Source organism: Homo sapiens, chromosome 2 (assembly GCF_000001405.40).
Source record: "Homo sapiens chromosome 2, GRCh38.p14 Primary Assembly".
Taxonomy (NCBI): Eukaryota; Metazoa; Chordata; class Mammalia; order Primates; family Hominidae; genus Homo; species Homo sapiens.
The window spans coordinates 11,857,884-11,880,253 of record NC_000002.12 but is presented as its reverse complement, the minus strand read 5'-3'; the positions used below and the strand labels follow the sequence as shown (position 1 = coordinate 11,880,253).

At 46.2% G+C, this 22,370-nt stretch overlaps 1 long non-coding RNA gene across 2 annotated transcripts in view, besides 5 other annotated features; it reads right to left on the bottom strand.

Annotated features, from left to right (window-relative positions):
* Positions 3,798–3,847: an enhancer, noted in NCBI's record as "active region_15329". NCBI's record gives its function as "activates an Ori minimal core promoter by ATAC-STARR-seq in GM12878 lymphoblastoid cells {active_cell/tissue: GM12878}" and the evidence as "EXISTENCE:reporter gene assay evidence [ECO:0000049][PMID:35858748]".
* Positions 9,330–9,399: an enhancer, noted in NCBI's record as "active region_15328". NCBI's record gives its function as "activates an Ori minimal core promoter by ATAC-STARR-seq in GM12878 lymphoblastoid cells {active_cell/tissue: GM12878}" and the evidence as "EXISTENCE:reporter gene assay evidence [ECO:0000049][PMID:35858748]".
* The window catches only part of LOC105373430 (uncharacterized), a 34,063-nt gene continuing 25,662 nt past the window's right edge, over positions 13,970–22,370 (bottom strand). For both annotated transcript variants that reach the window (XR_922803.3, XR_001739287.2), the window contains one exon: positions 13,970–14,404. This is a non-coding gene — a long non-coding RNA (uncharacterized LOC105373430). The remainder of the gene's footprint in view (positions 14,405–22,370) is intronic.
* Positions 16,402–16,451: a silencer, noted in NCBI's record as "silent region_11178". NCBI's record gives its function as "represses an Ori minimal core promoter by ATAC-STARR-seq in GM12878 lymphoblastoid cells {active_cell/tissue: GM12878}" and the evidence as "EXISTENCE:reporter gene assay evidence [ECO:0000049][PMID:35858748]".
* Positions 16,722–16,771: an enhancer, noted in NCBI's record as "active region_15327". NCBI's record gives its function as "activates an Ori minimal core promoter by ATAC-STARR-seq in GM12878 lymphoblastoid cells {active_cell/tissue: GM12878}" and the evidence as "EXISTENCE:reporter gene assay evidence [ECO:0000049][PMID:35858748]".
* Positions 19,338–19,437: an enhancer, noted in NCBI's record as "active region_15326". NCBI's record gives its function as "activates an Ori minimal core promoter by ATAC-STARR-seq in GM12878 lymphoblastoid cells {active_cell/tissue: GM12878}" and the evidence as "EXISTENCE:reporter gene assay evidence [ECO:0000049][PMID:35858748]".

Genomic DNA, 22,370 nt, shown 5'->3' with positions numbered 1-22,370 from the left:
GGCTTCAAAGAGTGGATTCTCATCCAAGTTTCAAGTGTGGTTATGCTAAGGAACAACAACTGGTGTTGGATGTAAAATGCTGTCAGACAAGAATTTTCTAGAAGAACCCAGATGCTCTTTTAACCCCTCAAAAAGCCCTTTGCTGCATCTGGATCCTCTTCTGGTGGGAGTAGAAAAACTTTTTAATAAAAGTATAAAAATTGCTGCCAAAAGAACATCATAGCCATCACTGCATAAATCAGAATACACTTACTGGTGGGCGTGCCCTGACCATGGCAGAACTTGCTGTGTTAACTCTCTTCCTATCGGTCCTCTGTTTCTCCAGGTGAGTGAAGGATATGAACAGACACTTCTCAAAAGAAGACATTCATGCAGCCAACAGACACATGAAAAAATGCTCATCATTACTGGCCATCAGAGAAATGCAAATCCAAACCACAATGAGATATTATCACACACCAGTTAGAATGGTGATCATTAAAACGTCAGGAAACAACAGGTGCTGGAGAGGATGTGGAGAAATAGGAACACTTTTACACTGTTGGTGGGACTGTAAACTAAAGGGTCTGGTAATATACTCCCAAAATTTGCGTCTAGCTCTGAACTTCATGGGCACCACAGTTTAAGAAGGAAGCAGACACACACTCAGAAAAGAACAAATAGGGTGAGGGGCTGCACCCCACATTGTGATAACGGGTGGCCAAAGGAACCAGGAACTGGAGAAGAGAGGACACTGGGGAACGTGAGTGGTGTGCACCTCCAAAATTCCTGTGTGGCCACAGAGAGGGAAACCAAGGCCAATGGGTGAAAGCCTCAGGTAATCAGAACTTGCTTGAAAAACTCAGCTGCCCAGGCACAGTGGCTCACACCTGTAATCCCAGCACCTTGGGAGGCCAAGGCGGGTGAATCATGAGATCAGGAGATGGAGACCATCCTGGCCAACATGGTGAAACCCCGTCTCTACTAAAATACAAAAAATTAGCCAGGCATGGTAGTGCATGCCTGTAATCCCAGCTACTTGGAAGGCTGAGGCAGGGAAATCACTTGAACCTGGGAGATGGAGATTGCAGTGAACTGAGATCACACCATTGCACTCCAGCCTGGGCAACAGAACAAGACTCCATCTCAAAAGCAAACAAACAAACAAACAAAACAAAACAAAAAAACCTGAGCCATCCAAAGATGAAACAAGCAGTTTCAGTTTCTAGGGGAGGGAAAGGGAAGAGAGAGATAAGAAAACACATGTCTTGAGCTCCTGTCTTGAGGCAGGCAGGACCTCTGACTCTAGACACCCGTGAACTCTAACTCCCACCACAATCGTGCTCTTATCAACACTATTTTCCAGGTTACAAAACTGTAGCCCAGAGAAAAACCACTTGATCAACATCAGGAGTAGTGAGTTAGTGAATGCCCCATCAGGAAGACACTGAAGTGGAGGATAAAATACTAGTTTAAACTTATTTAAGCCTCCCATGTAGAAGGCTGGACAGGAGGCTCTTTGTGATCCCTTCCAGCCAGGAAATCTCATGATTCTGTCTGTTGTGCTTGGGTGCCACTTCCCAATCACCATGAAGAAGCCTGACCTCAAAATGCTGAATGGAAAAAGGCCCACTGATGGTCAAGCCTCCACCACCATGACGACCGCCATCACCACCACGCTGGGCACTAGCACGCCTATGAGCAGAGATACTGGCTGCCATTAAATGCAATGGCTCTCATTTCGCAGGTGAGGAAACTGAGCCTTGGCAATGCAAAGTATTTATAGAAGGTCATCTAGAAAGTAAGTGGCAAAGCTCCAGCCCAAAACAAGTCTGTCTGACTCCAAAGCTGCAGCCATCTTCAGAATACCCCATTCTCTCCCTGATTCTCCCTGCATGCTGCCATGATGATGGTGCACCTGAGCACAGAATATTCCACATTAAGAAGTAGAGGACCAGGTCTTGGATCAGTTTCTGCTCCCATGGCTTAAAATCAAATGTGCTCTTCTGCATGAAGCTATCACAAATGCTACTTCAGCAGTGCCTTCCCTCCTTGAGGAACACGAAGAACTTGATGGCATGATGAGAATCTGCCTGGTTTCTTGACTTGCTGTGGCTCTGGAAGGTGGCTCCAGGACACTGGTCCTGTGATCCAGAAGCCCTACCCAGAGAAAAGGCAAGATGCTACCTTGCAGAGTGTAGCTCATTTGAAAGATTCATTCCCTCAGGGCCATATGCCCCACTCCGGGGACGCTGACTTGGCTTGCCTTGCTCGCAAGATACCAAGGCCATCAGTAACTTTCCCCACACTCAGCACTTTCTCTCCTCTCTGACTCTTTCAGCTGAGGCTGCAATGTTAAACATGTAGTTTTGTAAATTAATTCTTTGAAGATTCACTCTTGTCAGCTAACTTTTCTCTCTGCAATAAGCCAAGGAAGTCACTTACTAGCAACTGAAATTTCCACCTTCATGTACTCCCAAGCTTTTTAATTTAAGACAGTGTTCCAAAACCTCTATGCAGCAAAACTCCCCAGTTATATACTCAAAAATGTTCAGTTAATATTAATGGGGAAAGTGAGCATCCCACCTTGGCCCTGGATAAGAACAGGATCTCAGTGTATCATCTCGGGGGGAGAAAGAAGCCAGAAGATAAGCCTTTAGCTAGCATTCGACTGCAGACAATCCTAGGTTTTGTTTCTCCTCTCCAGGCTCAACTCAACAGTCATTTATGTCATGAGCTGTCCTGCGCCAGGTTGTGGGTAAGTGTCCCTATAGGGAAGAACCGAGAAGAGTGAGAGACAGACTCTGCCCTCTTAAGAGTGTGCACTGAATCGGGAAAGGACAGGCAGTCCACCCCAGGACAGGGCAGGGCAGGCAGTCCCCAGAGGCACAAGGACATCCCACCAGCAATGTGAGGCTGGGAGGCCTGAGTCCTCTACAAATTTGGACAAGTCACTTCCCCTGAGATTCAACTTATTTATTTTAAGAAAAAATTTTAAGTAGACCCAGATTTTAACTAAGATGCCTTCTGTCTCCAGTTTTCTAAGATTAAGTTAAGGGTAGCAAATGCTCCAGGAGAAAAACAAATGTTCCTGCAAGGATAAGGAGAGGGGTTCCCGTCCAGCAGGTCTGGGAAGGGGCTGGGAAATCAGCGAGCAGGAGCTGGCCTCAAGGAGCGGCGAGGATGCCAACAGGTCATGGGTCCAGAGAGGATGTCTGGATACCTTCTCGTCAAAGAAAAGATTCCCACCACTTCTGCTGCTGCCAAAGGGGAGGGGAAGGGAAAACAGAGAGGCAGGGAGAGGGAAAGAGGCAGAAAGGGAGAATAAAAGGAGAAAAGGAAGAATAAAAGAAGACATCAAAAGAGGAAGAGGAGGAGCAGAAGCAACACCTAATAATAATGGTAATAATAATACCTACATAGTCCTGAATGGTTTAGAGAAGTTCTGCCCACACAGGCTCATTTAACTCAGCCCCATGCTGGGAAGCAGGGGTCGGCAGGTTCACCACCTTCACAGACTCAGAGTTGGCCTCAGAGTTGGGAATTGTGGTCTGATGGCAGTGAGCCTCCCATCATACAGCTGTGACCGCAAGCTCAGCATGCTGCCACCGTGCCAGGGGGTGTCCTGAGGAGCTCTGTGCAGGTGCCCTCAGCATGTTCCTGGCTGAACAGTCTCCGAAGGCAAGCAATCCAGAGGCAATCAAGGACACGCCTGTTGTATTCTGCCACAACCAGTGGGGAAGGTTCTCTCCTTGACTGAACTCCAGCCAGGCTTCACTGAGCCCTTTCTCAACAAGGCCTTACGCTTGACCTCTAAAGACTTAAACACAAACTTAGTTTCTCACAACTGAAGGCCATGTCCCTAGGATGACTCTAGCCCCGTTAAAATGATCAAGGCTGAGGAAACTCAAGGCTACCAAAATAATTCAGTGTGTTCTAGTTAACACCTAAAGATAGGTCCCTGCCTCCCAGCCCCGGCGAGAACAGAAGCCTAGACCCCGATGGGTTTCACATGGGCTCACCACCCTGCCTACCTTTTGTAATTTTCACTTCTGACTCTCCCGAGCCCTACTCACCACCTCCACACCACTGTCACCTCCCTCCCGTTTCGTCATGCCCCGTCACCTCTGTACAAATCATAGGTGAGTTCACTTCATGCTGGACTCTTCCCCCTGTCGCAATGGTCCATTACTGATGAAAATCTGCCCCTACCACTTTACCTAGAGTCTGGCTTTGTCTAACTTTGTCACACCTCAGGACCACTGCTTTCAGTTCTGGATACCATACTTCACGAGGAAAACTGTCTGCCTGAAACATTTCAGAGGATGGAGAGAGTATTTAAAGCCAGGTAGGTACCTTAAGGAAAAGTGCAGGGTCTTGGATCATTTGCGTTGAGAAGGAGAGTTGAGTGCTGTTGCAGAATTATCTAAAGGGCTATTGTATCAGCCAGCATCCCAGCTGGAAACATATGGCTTTATCAAACTGGGTTAATTAGAAGAAGGCTTGTCAGCAAAGGGACTATTTACAATGCTACAGGTGTGAGAGAGCCTAAGGACGAGGCAGTAACCTGGAGCCAGCAGCAGAGAAGCTGTACCATGGCCAGCCACAGCAGGACACACAGGAAGTTGTCATCAAAACCAGAAGAAAGTCATGGAGAGAGAAACTGTCCTTGAAGAAACAGTGACAGTCAGGGACAAAGCCAATCAGAGACAATGCAACCCACCACGGGACCCCAGGGAATACATGCAACTGGAATACTTCTCCTCCCTCCTTTCAGTCTCCTGCAAAGACACATCTTTGGCCAGGTCTAGCTGAAACTCAGAGTATATAGGACCCCAAGGACAAAGAATTCCATATGCGTCAGATTCCCAAGACAGAGGGGAGTGAAGAAGGATGAAAAGAAACCCTGGAGAGGCAAACAGAAGTTATCAGACACAGCCATCATGTGGGAGAACCAGATATGGGCATGAGACCCACAGGGAGAGTGGGAGAGGAGGAGGGAAAGAATCAGGGTGGAGGGGAGGGAAGAGGAGGGGAAGGAAGGGAAGAGGTGGGGAAGAGTAGGGGCACAGGGGGCGGAGGGGAAGGGCAGGGGCGGAGGGGGCGGAGGGGAAGGGTGGGGGCGGAGGGGAAGGGTGGGGGCGGAGGGGAAGGGTGGGGGCGGAGGTGAGGGGATGGGGGGGCGAGGGGACAGGGGGGCAGGGTGCTGGAGGCGGGGCAGGACACCGGAGTGGGGAGGAGGGGAGCGGACGGTGGGGGGAGAGAGGGGAGCGGACGGTGGGGGGAGGGGGGTATGGGGTCGTAGGGACGGGGACAGAGGGACAGGGATGGAGGGAAAGAGAAAGAGTAACAGTCAAAGAGAGTTGAACTAGGAAAGAATAAGGTTGCATAAAGAGTACTGGCTCCCCACCATTGAATTTCAAGTCAAGGTTAGAAGATGACCGAGTTAGGAATGCTCTAGAGGAAATCCAATGTTAGATTGGTTTAAATGACTTATAAAGTTGCTTCTAACTTGATATCCCAACATCTTATAAAAAAGGAGATTAAAAAGGTTTGTTGTTGTTGTTAAACAATTGAGATTTCCTCCAATCTCAATCTCCTCCCATATTAAATATCTGCATTCAGCTTGCCTGAGAGATCATAGAAAATGCTTACTAAGTATGGCACCAGAGTTAAATTTCCGATTAGGCCGAATTTTGTAGTCACTTGAGATTTTTTAAGAAACCTGTCCTGTTTATTGTGACAACAGAATGACCTTGACAAGGAAAGGAAATATTTTCTAATCCAAACAACTTCAGAAGACCACGTTCTTTATCACCTCAAGAAGCATCACATTTGCTCCTGAAATTTGATTCATAATTTCCCCACGGTCTCTCTCAAATGGAGTCACACATTACAAATGAGAGAGCATCTAAGAACTAACTACAAACTTTGTTAACTTTTATGCTTTTGCCTTATAGTTTACCAAATAATGTTTTCTCCTCCCACTTACCAAGAGCTATGGTCAAAGTTAATTAAAATCTAGGGTAGCTGATGCTTCCATTTCCTGAATGGCAATGGAAATGATTCAAAGAAGGTTAGCAGTTACATAATTACTCATAGTATATTTTATATACCAGAGGCATCTCTTGTGGGCTTTGTATTAAGTGAATAATAGCAATGTTGTTTTGACTGAATAATATTTCAGTTAACTCCATGGCCGCTAAGTAGTTTACACTTAGAAAACCAAGAAGACCATTTGGAAATGTGTGCATTGAAATCTCCCATACGTGGTTGCACAATATGCTTTTCATTATTGCACAATGTCGTCAAGAATGGAACTAATAAAGCTGATATTTCATGGTGCAGGGTGCAGACTAGCAGTTTGATGTAATGTTTCAGCTCACAGTTTCTTGTATACAAGGAACGGATTAAACTGTTCAACTGCAGACAAAGACCACCCAATGTTTAGCTGCTCAGGTGAGGTATAAAAAATTGGCTCACCGCTATTTTCTCCCAGAATGAATGTAACTGATTGACCTATCTCCAAAACAAGCTGACAAAGTCGTAAATTGATGAATTCAGTTCCTGTTCTGGGAAAACTATGAATTAATTCAGTTATGTTCAGTAAGCCAAAATGTTGTAGTCATTAGGAAGTTTTTTAAGAGCAGTGGTTTTGATGTCTTTGTTCCTGCATTGTCAGTGGTAAGTGGAAGGCTTGGTGTTGCGATAGATCCACGTGACAGTGCATTAGCAGAGAGCTGTTCACGCACAGGCATGCCGTGTGGGACAGCAAAACGAACCCTCTCTGTGTCCCTGGAAAAATTATCAACATGTGACTCTCAATGCCAGAATTTCACCCAATCACTAAGAAATCCTCATCCCTCACATAACCTCTCCTACCCAGCATGGGCTTTTTAAGTCCTAAGCTGAATGGGCACCACCTATCTCTTCTCTGCATTCATGTAGCAAAATCCACTTTCATTTGTACATTTGTTCAGAAATCATTTTTGCTCTGTGCAGGAGGTTTCACAGACCAAATCTCATCTCATCCACATACCAAATCTGCCATGCAGGGATATTACTCCCATTTTTATGGTTATTTGCCTTATTTTCACTCACTTCTAGTGGTGTTGGTCCATGTGTTTGCTAATGCAGCTGAGCGTAGGAGAGAGGTTTGCCCAAGGTCACCAGGTTAGTAAGTCAAAGCTGATGTCAAACTCCAGGTCTGTCTCAATGCGTGTTCTTTGATCAGCTCCTGTACCAAACTATTTTGTATTTGGTCAGACACTGCAGCCTCCTCAGTACTGTAGCTGCATCCATTTTCTCTTAGTCTCCAACAACAATCATTTTGGATACATAACAGACACTGTCCACCATGTTTACACAATACAAATAGCTCATTCTCGCTGCGTACTTACTATGGGCTGGCACTGTTCCAGGTGCTTTCCAGGTTCTTTACACCCTGTTCAATTCTCACAACAATCAAGAGGAAAGTTACTAGTGTTATCTTCATTTGACAGATGGGAAAAATGAGGCACAGAGGGGTTAAGTAACTTCCTGAAAGCCACAGAGCTAGGAAGTAGCAAAGTTGAGATGCAAACCCAGGCTGTCTGTCTCTAGTTTGTGTTTTGGACTTCTGCACTAAACTGTTTCAGGGGTTCCTCTATCAACATAAGGAGGCTTTATTGATATAAGCAATCATTATTTATCATTCTTTACTAAATGTCTCCTGCATGCCAGCCTTGGACAGGTCCTGGGAACCCAAGGGTTAATAAGACAATGTGGTCCTTCTACAATAGTGGAAGAAACAAGCACTAAACGACAAAGAGCTATGAAGGAAAACACACAGTAAGCAAAAATGAGGATGGAGAGTGGAGGACAAGGCTCCTTTCAGCCTCAGCGGTCAGAAAATGCTTCCTGGGTTTTTTGGTTTTTTGTTTGTTTGTTTTTGTGACAGGGTCTGTCATCCAGGCTGGAGTGCAGTGGCACTATCACAGCTCACTGCAGCCTTGACCTCCTGGGCTCAAGCGATCCTCCCTCCTCAGCCTCCTGAGTAGCTAGAACTACAGGTACACACAACCATACCCAGCTAATTATTTTTTGTAGAGACGGGGGTCTTGCTATGTTACCTAGGCTGGTCTCAAACTCCTGACCTCCCACCTTGGCCTCTAAAGTGCTGGGATTCAGTCATGAGCCACCATAACTGGCCTCTCTGGATCTAATTTGATGAGATTCAGCACTGCCAAAAAACAGAACTTACAGGTGGGAACGAAACAGTTTCCCTCCTTCAAAGATCATTTTCTCAGCCTAAGTTTGCATCTCTACTCACATACCCTTGCCAGGTATGTGGCTCCAAATAAGTTACTTAACTTCTCCAAGAAACCATTTTCCCATCTATAAAAGAGGAGTGAGAACAATAATCACCTCATAGATTGCTGTGATCATTAGAAGTAATGTAGAGAAAGCATGGAGCAGATCCCTTGCCACATGGCAGGTCCTGGGCCAACGCTTGTCCTTGCCTTTCTTTCTCCTCTTCAGCCTGATCAGCTGCATCAGGGCTGGAGCCTGGTATCCTGGAGCAGGTATGGAGGGAGTGTTACAGCCCAGCCACCCTCATACCTGGATCTTCTTGGCCAGGCACATGACATGCTCATAAGTCTCTAAAGTAAAACAGATCTGAGGCCGGGCACAGTGGCTTATGCCTGTAATCCCAGCAATTTTGGAGGTCGAGGCAGGAGGATCACCTGAGGTCAGGAGTTTGAGACCAACCTGGCCAACATGGTGAAATCCCCCCCTACCCCAAGTCTCTACTAAAAATACAAAAATTAGCCAGGTCTGGTGGCGGCAGGTGCCTGTAATCCCAGCTACTTAGGAGGCTAAGGCAGGAGAATCACTCAAACCTGGGAGACGGAGGTTGCAGTGAGCCAAGATTGTGCCATTGTACTCCAGTCCGGTCAGCAAGAGCAAAATTCCATCTCAAAAAAAAAGAAATGTAAAGCCGATCTGAGTGTCAGCTGTGAATCACTACTGTGTAGGCCAGGTGGACAAAATAAAGCCATTGATTTTTTGGTAACTGCTCTCAAGTCTATCAGTCAGAATAAGGTGGGTTTTGCTGATATAATGAGAAACAATCCCAAATGCCCAAGACTTCAGACAAGAAAGGTTTATTGCTCACTTGTGCTACACGTCATCATAACCGACAGAGCCTCCTTCTTCAGGGACCCAGGCTGAGGGAGGCTCTAATCCTTGTCTCTGCAATGGCTGAGATTACAGAAAGCAAAATGGCCCATCAAACACTAGTTTTTGAGGCTTCTGTCCACACGCTACAGTCCATGACAGGTCACATGTACCTAATTTCAAGGGAGTAGGAAGTTGCAATTTTACCGAGTGCCTGGAAGAACAAGAAATACTCTGAGAACAGCACCCATGAGAACTACCAGGAGTTTGTAGAGACGCTGTGCCACAGCCGAGCTGGAGAGGGGAAATCCCACCTCAGGAGGAAACCATCCCCTTCTGAGCAATGTCAGTGTGGCTGCCCAGCAGGTTCCCTCTCCCCTTTGGGGAAGCACCTCACATTATCCACAGCTTCTCAAACATCTCCCCAAAAGCAGCCCTAACAGTAAAAGGAGAATTCAGAGCACCCGGCAATTTAAGTGCCAAAGAGACCTTCCACTGGTGAGCAATTTCACAAAGCCTTGTTTTACCCTATAGTTCATGTGGATCTGCAGCCTACTCCATTGTGTGTTACTGTGAGTTTTAATATCAAAATCAATGCTTCTGCAAGGTGTGCGGTGCTTGTGTTTTTCCCTCATTGCTAACCCATCACTTCATGTTTCTGGAAAATCTCAGTAACAGATCCCTGACATTCCAAAACATTATTCCTGAAATTTTCACAAATTGCCACAATCCCTAATTCCATCACTTTCTTACTTAGGTTGCTTTTCTTTTTCTAGATAAAAATGCTATCTGCCATTCACTCAGAGCCTCGTGTGTGTCAACAACTTGGCCTGCGTTGCCTCATTCCAGACATACCAGTTTTCCAGGAAAGGGACAGCAGGACTGGGGTCTCTCCTAATGATTAGGAAGTAGAAACTCAGGGAGATTCAATGACTTGTCAAAAGCCACACAGCAAGTAGCAGAGAAGCAATTTGAACCCAGTTCCAAGCAGCTCTGAATCCTTGCCTTTTCCACTGTAATCATATTCCCTCTTAGCTTCAGCTAAGAAATCAAACTCAGGTCTCCATCAACGCAAAAGCGAACCTCAGGCACCAGTTGTTTTCATCATTGGTGCAAGATTTTGGTTCTCTTTCAGGAGCAAGCTTCATCGAAAAATAAAGTTTTACTACTTTGCAAGTAGTGTTACAGGAGTCACTACAAAGCAGGTGCCACACGAAGATAGCCTTGATCACTCACTACAAAGTAGCTCCTTGTCACCCGACAGCCTCATAGCCACTGGGATTCTAATTCACAACTTGGAAAGACACAGACCACTATGGGTCATGGGCCTTTGGGGTTCCTGGTGACGACTCAAATCAGATTGTAAAATACAGAAAGAAGAGTCTCCACCCACCTCAGGGTCTGGATGACAGGAGGAAAGGTCCACTAAGAAGAAAAGCCATGGGTACGAAAGTGGCGCAGTTTCCTTGATGCGCTTAGAGCTAAACTCCAAGGCTCCACAGGCCCATGCTGATCAGCCTCGTGCCCAGTAAACAGGATCCTGAAGGCATTTACCCAGGCCCAGCTGGGAGAAAACATCACAATAGAGAATCAGCTCCACCTGTCAACTCTGGTTTCAAAGACAGCCTTTCCAAACCTTGTTCTCAGTGGCAGAGCCATTATGTTTTACATTATTTAAGAGATGGGTCAAGAATGAAATTGTAAGCATAAAAGTAATGAATGTTACAAAACAAAAAATTAAAAAATACATTTGACAATAGAAAATGCTAAATTCCTATGTGTCGAAAAAAATCCCCAAACAAAATTATAAGGCCAATGACAACCTAAAGGGGAAAACATTTCTAATGTATAGGATAACATGTCAATGACTTCAACACAGGGTCATCATACAAATCAACTTAAAATATATGTCCTTTGTCTGAGGAAGAGAACATTTGCAGAAGGATAAACGGTCAAGAAGTATTTCTAAAATGTTTATCCTTACTGGCAACCAGAAACACAAATTAAATAAAGGTACTGCTTTTTACCTAATTGATCTTTATTTTTTTAAGATAATACTTAGTGCCCTTGAGAGTACCATAATGTAGGCCCTTTCCCTCGGTGCTGTGGGAGAGTAAATTCCAGGAAAGCAATTTAGCAATACATATCAAAAGCCCTACTAATGTTATCTCCTTTGATCCTGTAATTGACTTCTGGGAATCTGTCCTAGGAAAATCATCAGAAATGTGGAGAAAAATTTTTATTCCGGAATATTCACTATAATGTTATTTGTTATAATCGAAAGAAAGAAAGAAAAAGAAAGAAAGAGAAAGAAAGAAAAATGAAACCAACCTAAATGGCAAAAATATAAGTAAAAAGGCAGGGTAGGGTTAAATAAAATATGGTGGGGAGAAATGATAGAGTATTAAAAAGTACCATATTTTCAAGAATTATTTGAATGACATGTGGAAATGTTCAAAATATAGTCAATCAAAAAGACAGACTCTAATACCACTGTTTTAAAAGAAAATATTACTGAAACATATATACACACAGTCATACACTCACTAAAATGCTCATAAAACAGATAAGGAAATAAGCCACTAACAGTGATTGTCTCTGGTGTGTTACGGGTAATTTGTTTTCCTTCTTTATATTTTTCTGTATTTTCCAAATTTTCAAAACTAACATTTATATACATGAATACACACAAACATACTTTTACAATTAAGAAAACACTTTTTGAAAACAATGTGGTAGACTGAAAATTTTGCCACATATTATTTACTTCCCCATATCCATGCCCTTGGGCACTTGGGCAGTGGCACACCACACTGAGCTTGGCCTCTTGACTTGTTTTGGCCAGTGGATTGTGAGCAGTTGTAATGCAAACAAAGGTTTGATGGCACTTACCTGTGGGAGCTTGTCTTAACTTGCTGCTTTTGGAATCCTCCTACCAACCCCTGTGTGAAAGAGCCTGGGCTGATCTGCTGGACGATGACAGATATATGGCCGAGTTCCCTCACTGCCCCAGCCCTAAGCTGACTAACAGAGCTGCCTAGCCAACCAGCAGCTGAACACAGACACAAGAATGATCACAGCTAGATGAGCAGAAAACCACCCAGCTGACCCCAACCCCAAACTGGCAACACACAAATTATAAAATAAATACATTGTTGTTGTTTTAATTCACAACATTTTGGGGGCAGTTTGTTATGCAACAAGAACTAAATTATATAAGGAAAAATGTACTCTAGTAGTAAAGTGGAAAAATCCTGGGTTTCTCCTTTGGGTACATTATTTAACCTGTGACTCCATTCTGTTATCTATAATGTGGGAATAAGACTGCTTGCTTCACTGGGAAGTTGGAAGAATCAAATGAGTTAATGTACATGAAGGCAGCTGACACACAGTAAGGCTAAATAAATATGACATGAATCTGAATTACTCTTGTCAGTAATTATTGGGAAGAAAGAAGCATTTAAAAATCTTAAGAAGAGAGGAATCAAAATATCTCCATCTCCACAGCTTAGGAGTAGGTTAAAAATATGATATTAGTATTTTTAGAATTTTATTATGAACAATGAATAAAGGATAAATCCCTGGGCTAGAATTTGGGGGCTTGAGTTTTATGTCCTGTTATGGACTAAGTGTTGTATTAATTCAAAATTGATATGTTAAAATATAATCCCCAATGTGATAGTATTTAGAAGTGGAGCCTTTGGGATGTAATTAGGTCATGAGGGTGGAAACTTCATGAAAGGGATTAGTGCACGGTATTAGCCCATTTTCATGCTGCTGGTAAAGTCATACCCCAGACAGGGTAATTTATAAAGAAAAAGAGGTTTAATGTACTCACAGCTCCACGTGGCTTGGGAGGCCTCACAATCATAGCAGAAGGTGAAAAGCGTGTCTTACATGGCAGCAGTTAAGAGAGAATGAGAGCTAAGTGAAAGGGGAAACCCATTATAAAACCATCAGATCTCATAAGACTCATTCACTACAAGAACAGTATTGGGGAAACTCCCCCAACGATTCGATTCAGGTATCTCCCACCAGGTCCCTCCCACAACACGTGGGAATTACGAAAGCTACAATTCAAGATAAGATTTGGGTGGAGACACAGCCAAAGCATATCATGCCATTATAAGTGGCCAGAGAACTAATTCACTCTCTTTTCTCCACGTGAGTAACAATGAGAAGTCAGCAGTCCACAACCCAGAAGAGGGCCCTCATCAGAACCCAACTGTGCTGGCGCTTTGATCTCAGACTTTCATCCTCTAGAACTGTGAGAAGTGCACTTTTGTTGAAACCACCCTGTCTATGGTACTTTGTTACAGCAGCCCAAATGGACTAAGACATATCCTACTTCTGCCATTGACTTGGAATATGACATAGGGTGTTTTTCCTATTCCAACTTAATAGGAACTTATTTCCTTAGTGGTGGTCTCTGGGGTCTGAGTCAATTGCCACAGAGCCAGAGAAGAATTGAATGCAGAAGTATTTGAGATCTAAGCTTAAAGCCCAGTCTCCTCCTCTGGATGTTCACATAGTCATGCCCATCTGCTTCTCCTGCCACTCACAGCCCACTCCACCCTATTTGCTCAGCACTCCAGCCAAACGAAACAGCTGGCTATTCTCAGGCAGGAGGCACGACGATTGTACCTTACTTATGCCATCGCCTCTGCTTGGGACACCCTTTTGCACAGTCAGACTCCTACACAGAGCTTCAAGACTTGCCCTGGGAAGACTCTTCTGACCCCTCAGATAAAATAAGTATCTCTTTCTCTCGTGTTCCCACGACCTATTTATCTTAGGTCAGGTTTTCTAGAAGCAAAGGCTAAGACAGGGATCCTTGTGCAAGTGATTTATTAAGGGAGTTCTCCTGGGAGAACCCTTAAGGAGAGGGAAGCAGAATAGGCCAGTGGGAAAAGCCAAGCAAAGATGCAGGCTCAGCTGAAGTCCACGTGGAGGCCGAACAAACCCTCAGAGTCGGCCCACCTGAGGCAAGTTGTGTCTGGCCTTCTGTGCCCCCTGCTATCAGTCAACCACAGCTGGAAGCCATCCCCAGACAAAGGACATGACCTTCCAGGCATTTCCAAAGCAGCACCCGTTACCCAAGACGATTCAAAGGGAAGGGCGCAGCTGTAGGCCGGGTGAGCCATCAGGTAAAAGGGCGCTGGGGGCACCGGCACTGTCACTTATCATCCGCCCCTCACACCTGCGCTTCACAGGCAGTTCACTCCATTAAGCACAGCGTGTTCTGGATTCTGGTTGATCACAATTTCTGGAGAAACATAAAAGAGCAAGGATGTTAGGATGAACTGCCGCCTCCACTGCTGAGTGGGTCCCAAGTTTGTCTCCGAAACTCACCATTTCCCTTTTCCACCAGCGATACAACATTTCCCTCCCCAGCAGCTGGGAGGTCTGCTGAGCTATGTGGATTTTCCTGAGGGAGATGGTACCCAGATCTTCACCTGGGGCAGCGGGGTGCAGGGAGGGTCTAGCCCCCGGGTTTCTTGTTCTTATTAGGCCATAGCTGCGGAACCTTTCCATTTCCTCTTAGAATTGAGTGTGGGAGTGCCGGGGGTGCCCAAGGGATCACCTGATGCCCAACACATTTCCTCCTGCCCCCACTGTGAAGCATTATGAAAGCAGCAGCTCACTGTTTCCTCGTGATGAGCACGGTTCATTACTCTTTTTTGTTTGTTTCTTTCTTTCTTTTTGAGACAGAGTCTTACTCTGTCACCCAGGCTGGAATGCAATGGCGCAATCTTGGCTCACTGCAACCTCCATCTCCCAGGTTCAAGCAATTCTCCTGCCTCAGCCTCCCGAGTAGCTGGGAATACAGGTACCCACCACCACGCCCAGCTAACTTTTTAGTAGAGACGAGGTTTCACTATGTTGGCCAGGCTGGTCTCAAACTCCTGACCTCAGGTGATCCACCTGCCTCGGCCTCCCAAAGTGCTAGGATTGCAGGCATGAGCTACCATACCTGGCTGGGTTCATTACTCCTACCGAGGTAGTAACTCCTTTCCTTGCCCAGTGATCTATTGGCACATGAACCCAAAATGACCGGGCAGCAACTGCAGCTTTACGTTTAGTGGGCTCTTTACTGTATTCCCTGATGGTATTAATAATTATTTCCCCTCCGGGCACCAAGAGCTTTAGATCCTCAGAGCCTAAAATTGCAGAGACAGACACAAATCCCCACGTGATTGCTCGGGGTGATGGGGAGCAGAGCCACTGCTGCTTCCATTTCGGGGTTCCTGGACCCACCCCTTCCATCTATTCTGCAGCAGGGCTCACTCCAGGGACTACACCTGCTCTGTCTTCTCACTCCCCTTTGCGCAGACTTTGAGAGCAGGGTTCATTTGTATTGCTCTGTGTACATACACTCACTCCCACTGCCCTGCATCAGTAAGGCCACTGATGGAGGAGAAAGGTGCTTTCACATGCCACATATGCCACACCTCTGAGTGGTATGGCTCATTTTCCTCAAGCAAAATATCAGGACCATGGTCCTAATACCTAACACCAGGATGATGGGTCAGGATGTTAAATTGGAGCCAACTCAGGATATCTACAAAAGCAAAATGGCTACTCAATTTGGGTAAAGAGCTGGCAAAGTTAAAAAATATCATAAGCAGTCTATATGTGGTCAGGAAGAAGGGGGACACCGAAGACCAGGATATATAAAGGCTCTGATCCTGGCGGAAATTCAACTTTGGAAATTAGGCTCATTTCTCTGCCAGGCCAGGCTCCCCTTATTTGGAAATCAGGGCAGCGAGATTGTCACCTGGGGTCACAGCAATGCACCAGGTCTCTGTCCCAAGGACCACAGTCTGTCCAGGCTCTGGGAGTGGAGGATGGGCTGGGCAGGGTGTGTGTATGGAATGTGCTAGACAATGGCCAGCTCCCTGGCCACAGCCAACCCTGAATATCCTGCCTTGGCCAGAAGGGTCCTGGAGAGGAAGCAGACACCGAACAATTGGGAAAGGTCTAAAAACCGCAGGAGTCGGCTGAATACAGCCAAGAGGCTGCCCAGTGATGCAATTCATGGGAGACAAAAAAAAAGAAAGAAAGAAAAGGAAAAAAAAAAAAAAAAGAAAGAAAAAAGAGCCCTCCAATCCTACCCAGGAGCATTCATCATTCAGCGTGACCTTCCAGGAATCTGCTGACAGACACAAAGTGTTTTGTGTAACTTTCTGCCTGGGACCTGGAATGACTGACGTGTCCCAGAGAAGGGGCGGAAGGGAGCTGGATGGTGGGGAGACTGGGGGAGGCGGGCAGCCTCGGTTCCCTGCAGGGGATTGTTGGGCACCATCTGCTGGTGGCAAGGGGAACGACACCCCACCTCTGACCCAACAAAGGAAAGCAATGTCTTGGGAAGCAAGTACTGAGGGAGGGCGTCGGGGAGAGGAACACAAACACACTTCTCACCTGCTGAGCCAGAGGCTTCCACAGGTACCTTCTGGTTAGGAAAGAGTTGCTATGCCCATCTTACAGATGGGAAACTGAGGTTCAGGGAGGTGATTAATTTCACCAAGGGTAAGAATGGACGAATTTGTTGCCATTGAATAACCATTCCTTGTTCTGAACTCATTCACAGAGGCTGGAATAGTTCCTGGAACATAAATGCTGGCTGAGTGAATGGCTGAATATGGCTTGAGAAGTAACTTGTGTTTTTGTACTATGCCTGTCTGAACCCAACAAAATAGGAAAAAGTCAATGCAAACCGAGAGTGGTGGCTGCGATTGCAGATGGCTCTCCGGAAACGCCCAGTGCATGACATCCTCCCCGCCTCCTGTTTCATCTGACAAGATTACAAACTACTTCAAAGCCTAGGGTAGGTTTTACTCCTTGTTGACCTCAACCTAGCATTTAGCTGTCCTGGAGGGGCCACAGAAGGAAGAAAGACGATGGAGCTGCATAGGCAGGCACCAGATTTCAAAGAGTCTCAAACCGGTGCAAGGTGACAGGTGACAGGCTACCACTGAAGTTCTGAAGAACCCTTTGCTATTGTGACAGCTTTTCGCCAGCCACCCAGTTGTTTCATGTCTCAGTGGAGGACCCTTATCTTCTCAAAGGTCTAGTGATATTCAGGTACATCAAGCCTTTTCATGCTGAATTCTACCAACATGTCCATCCATCCCGTCCTAATCCCACCCCCCGACACACACACACACACACACACACACACACACATCCTTCCCCCAAACACAGAAACATACCTACACACCAACACTCCTACACACAGGCAAAAACTTCACCAGTCATCAACTGTTACACAGTAAACATCAACATCTCTAAACGCTGAGATAGGTAACATCTTTGAATCCTTGCAATTAATTCCTCCATTATCCATTATTCCTCCATTCTCTCTGACTGGGATGAACATCGCCCTCGGGCAAACTCCCGTTCAACCGTCAAGGCCTATATCCAACATCACCCCACTCTTTGAAACCTTTCCCTACCCCATCACCATTTAGTGTTCCCTTCTCTGACTACCCGGGGAATATGTTTGGAGTTGACAATAACACTTAAAGCATTGTCTTCATGTGTGCATGCTGTTGATGTAAGTAGTAAGAGTTCATTGAATGAATAAATGAACAAATGAACACAGTTTCTTAAAATCCTCTAAGAAAAAGAAAAGGAATTGAGCCAGCTGGAAAGGGAACCTGGCCATCACCAGCCGCTGCAATTCTAGCTTTGGACCCAGGCAGCTCTCAGCCCCTTGGCCTGACCTGGCACCTTTCCACAGATGTGACTGACTGCCCTTCTCAATGTGGGAGGGAAAAGGGAGGCCCCTAACTAATGGAGGGAAATGCACAACTAGTCATCGAGAAAAATTACCTTCAAAAAACAGCAGCATGTCAGAAGCTTTGAGAGCTGAAAGTTTCAACATCCAGCAAATCTCCCCAGACACTTTTAGGCCAGCATTGAACACTCATTTCTTGTTCTCAGGCTCTGACCTGTCTTGGTATTTACCTAGAAAAGATGACTTCCAGACTGCCTGAGAGACATGCACCGTGACTATTGATTAAATGAATGATTTTTAGATGAGAGCATGAAAATAGCCAAAAACCAGTAGTCAATCCACTCATCCAAGATTTTCAGCCTTGTCCCGAGCCCCTAAGTTCTGGATTGGAATGATCCCTCCAGGAAGAAGAAGGACACCAACATTTACTGAGCATCTACTATGCCTCTGCCACTGTAGCTGCACAGCTCGGCTTCAGGGTAGATGTTATCCTTTCCTGACAGATTAGGAAAGAAGCTCAGAGAGGTGAAGTAATGTGCCCAAGGGTACTCAGCTTGTCTGTGGGGCAGCAGGGCTCACTCCGAGGGCATCGAGGCCAGTGCCCTGCCCACTCCACAGCCTCTCCCTGCACACTGAGGGGGCTAGAGACCAGGTAGGAGAGACTACTCACTTCCTTGGGTTATTTTTCTCTAAATTACCCCTTCTCGACTCCTCATCCCATGTGGGAATGATATCAACTCTGAAAAGGGTTTGAGAGAAACTTCTATCTACTGAGAGAGAAACAGCAGAAAGGACAGCAGAACTGGAACCCATTGTTATTCATTCAACAGGCACGTGTGCTGCAAGCCCACTGTGGGCCAGGTGTGGACCGGTGGAGAGTTGATGCAAGGCCTGCCTCCAGCGGGGCTCTGCCCATCCCATCCTTGGCACAGCATGGGAGAACCAACACAGCCCACTCCTTAACTGGGGAACATAATACTAACTAAGCTTGCAACTAGACATGCCACCAGATTTAAGTAGAGCTTGGCAAAGGCAGAAAAGCCAGAAGATCGTATCTTGCTGGCTGTGAAACTAAGTTTCAGGCTAGCAAACCCTTGCTCAGCCTTCCAGAACAGTATTACCATGAAGCGTTCAGAAACACTCATTGCAAAAGCCAAAAATCACCTTATTTGGGGAACATAGAGGCAAGGAAAAATGCTGAGTGTGGATCTTATAGAGAGAATAACTGGCACATCCAAACAGCAAGACCTTCCCTCTGGGAGAGCAGAATCCCCATCAGCAGCAGAGATATTTGCACCTTTATTTCCCATTTATTTATTCATTAACAAAAATGCATAGAGTGACTACCAGGTCCCAGGCCCTGTCCTAGGCACTGGAGCTGCAGCAGGGACAAAATGGACCAAATGTCTCAGCCACACATGGCTCACATGCCAGTGGGAGAAGACAGGTAAAACCAGGAAGTAAATCCTAAGCAACTCAGGAAGACAATAAGCCCCATGGGGAAGCTGTAGTACAGCAGGCAAAAGGGCCAAGAAGTGCAGGTGGCTCTGTGCAGCACTCAGAGAGTACACCCATGGGAGAGACATGCTTCTGGTCCCCTTTGAGGAGCTGCTGAATAGTACCTGAGTCAGAGCCATTTATAAAAGCAGTGGCAGATGCAAGATGCCCTCATGGAAATCTGCACAAGGGTTCAAGAGTCAGAGAAAGAGACCCCATATTCTTCCTGGATGGATAAAGGAAGGCTTCCTGGAGGAGGTGGCTTGTGAACCAATGTTGGCCAGCAGACCTGGGGCACTGGCTCATTTCAGCCCACAGTCAAAGGCATAAGTGCACATGAGCAGATGTCAGTCCCCGGCAGCATTGTCTAGCCTAGTGTGCTAGTTTGCTAGGGCTCCTGTAACAAATATCACAAGCTAGGTGGCCTAAAACAACAGAGATTTATTTACGTCCTCACAGTTCACATCCAACATCAAGGTGTTGGCAGGGTTGGTTCCTTCCAAGGCCTCTGATATGGTTGGGCTGTGTCCCCACCCAGATCTCATCTTGAATTGTAACTCCCACAATTCTCACGTGTCATGGAAGGAACCCAGTTCCATAGGGGCAGGTCTTTCCCATGCTGTTCTCATGATAGTGAATAAGTCTCATGAGATCTGATAGGTTTAAAAATGGGAGTTTTGCTGCACAAGCTCTCTCTGCCTGCTGCCATCCATGTAAGATGTGACTTGCTCCTCCTTGCCTTCCGCCATGATTCTGAAGCCACCCCAGCCAAGTGGAACTGTAAGTTCATTAAACACTTTTTTTTTTTTTTTTGAGATGGAGTCTCTGTCGCCCAGGCTGGAGTGCAGTGGTGTGATCTTGGCTCACTGCAGCTTCCACCTCCCAGGTTCAAGAGATTCTCCTGCATCAGCCTGTTGAGTAGCTGGGATTATAGGCATGCACCACCATGCATGGCTAATTTTTTTGCTGTTGTTGTATTTTTAGCAGAGATGGTGTTTCACCATGTCCTCCAGGCTGGTCTTGAACTGCTGACCTCAAGTGATCCACCTTCCTTGGCCTCCCAAAGTGCTGGGATTACAGGCACAATTACTGGGATCCACCACACCCAGCCTAAACCAATTTCTTCCCAGTCTTGGGTATATCTTTATCAGCAGCATAAAAACAGACTAATACAGCCTCTCTCCTTGGTGTGCCAATGGCTCAGACAGCCACCTTCTCCATGTCCCCACGTGGCCACCCCTCTTGCTCACATCCTGGTCGCCCTGTGTGTCCCAATTTCTTCCTCTTCCAAGTCATGGGTCAGATGGGATTAAGACCCACCCTAAAGTCCTTCTTTTAGTTTAATCACCTTTTTTTAAGGCCTTATCCCCAAATGCACTCACATTCTGTGAGGCTGAGGGTTAAGGCTTCTACCCGTGGATTTTGCAGGGACACAGTTCAGCCCGTACATAACAACTAGCTCGCCAAGAAATAAGTGCCTGCTCTGGGTCACACGCTTTCTCTGCAGCGAGGTGTGTTCCAGTGAAGTGTGTGAATTGGTGCACCCGGGACCATGAACTCCACCTTATCCTACAGCCCCTCCCTCAGTGGCTGCTGCACTCTCCCCCCTTGTTGGTGCATGGTCACCCTCGACTATAGACTTCTCCAGGGTTCCCACCAGGAGCACAGCAAAGCTTCTCTGTATCATCTTTTATCTCAACACAAACAATGCACCTCCCACTCCACAGCCTTGGCCCAAAGGGCATGGTCAGGAAAGATAGGCCAACCACCATCCTGCTCCACTTCCCTCTCTTCTCTTTCTCATGTGCTTCTGGACATGAAGGGGCAGACTTTCAGCTTCCTCATCCCCTCTGGAAGGAACTTCCTCTAAGCAGAGGTCCCCAGCCCCTGAGCCACAGACTGGTAACAGTCTGCAGCCTGTTAGGAACCAGGCCGCACAGCAGGAGGTGAGTAGCAGGCAAGGGAGCATTACTGCCTGAACTCCACCTCTTGTCAGATCAGCAGCAGCATTAGATTCTCATAGGAGCACAAACTCTAGTGTGAACTGTGCATGCAAAGGATCTAGGTTGCATACTCCTTATGAAAATCTAATCCCTGATGATCTGAGGTGGAACAGTTTCATCCTGAAACCATACCCTCAACCCCTGGTCCATGGAAAAATTGTCTTCCACGAAACCAGTGCCTGGTACCAAAAATATTGGGGAGCGCTGCTCTAAAGCATATTCTCCTGCCTCCCCAGGCTCCAAGCCTCTGCTTTACTGAGGCAGGCACAGTCTATCTACACTGTGGAGACCCCAGGCCTGAGGTAGCCATGGAGGGCTTCATCATAGGAACAACAGGATGGCTTGGATCAAAGGATTACCAAGGATGAAAACAGAGTGACTTAATGTTCCAAAAATATTATTCGTATAATAATCATAATATTTAATATCTAGTGATCCCATATATGCTCGAGGCAGAGAGCAAAGTGCTTTCCATCTTACCTCATGACATGGTTTGAATGTTCGTCCCCTCCAAATCTCATGTTGAGGTGGAATTCTCAGTGTTGGAGGTGGGGCCTATGGGAAGTGATTGGATCATGGGGGTGGATTCCCTCATGCACGGCTTGGGCCATCCCCTTGGTGATGAGTGAGTTCTCGCTCTGAGTTCATATGAGATCTGGTCGTTAAAAAGTACGTGGCTCCCTCCTGGCTCTCTTGCTCCCTTGTTTGCCATGTGACATGCCTGCTCCCCCTTCACCTTCTGCCATAATCTTAAGCTTCTTGAGGCCTCCCCAGAAGCAGATGCTGGTGCTGTGCCCCCTGTATGGCCTGCAGAGCCATGAGCCAAATAAACCTCTTTTCTTTATAAATTACCCAGCCTCAGGTATTCCTTTACAGCAATGCAAAATGGACTAAGACATCTCATTTAATGAAACAACGTCATGAGTGCCACTTTACAGAAGAGGAAATGCAGCCACTGGGGTAAAATGCCATGCCCAGGTCCACACGTCTAG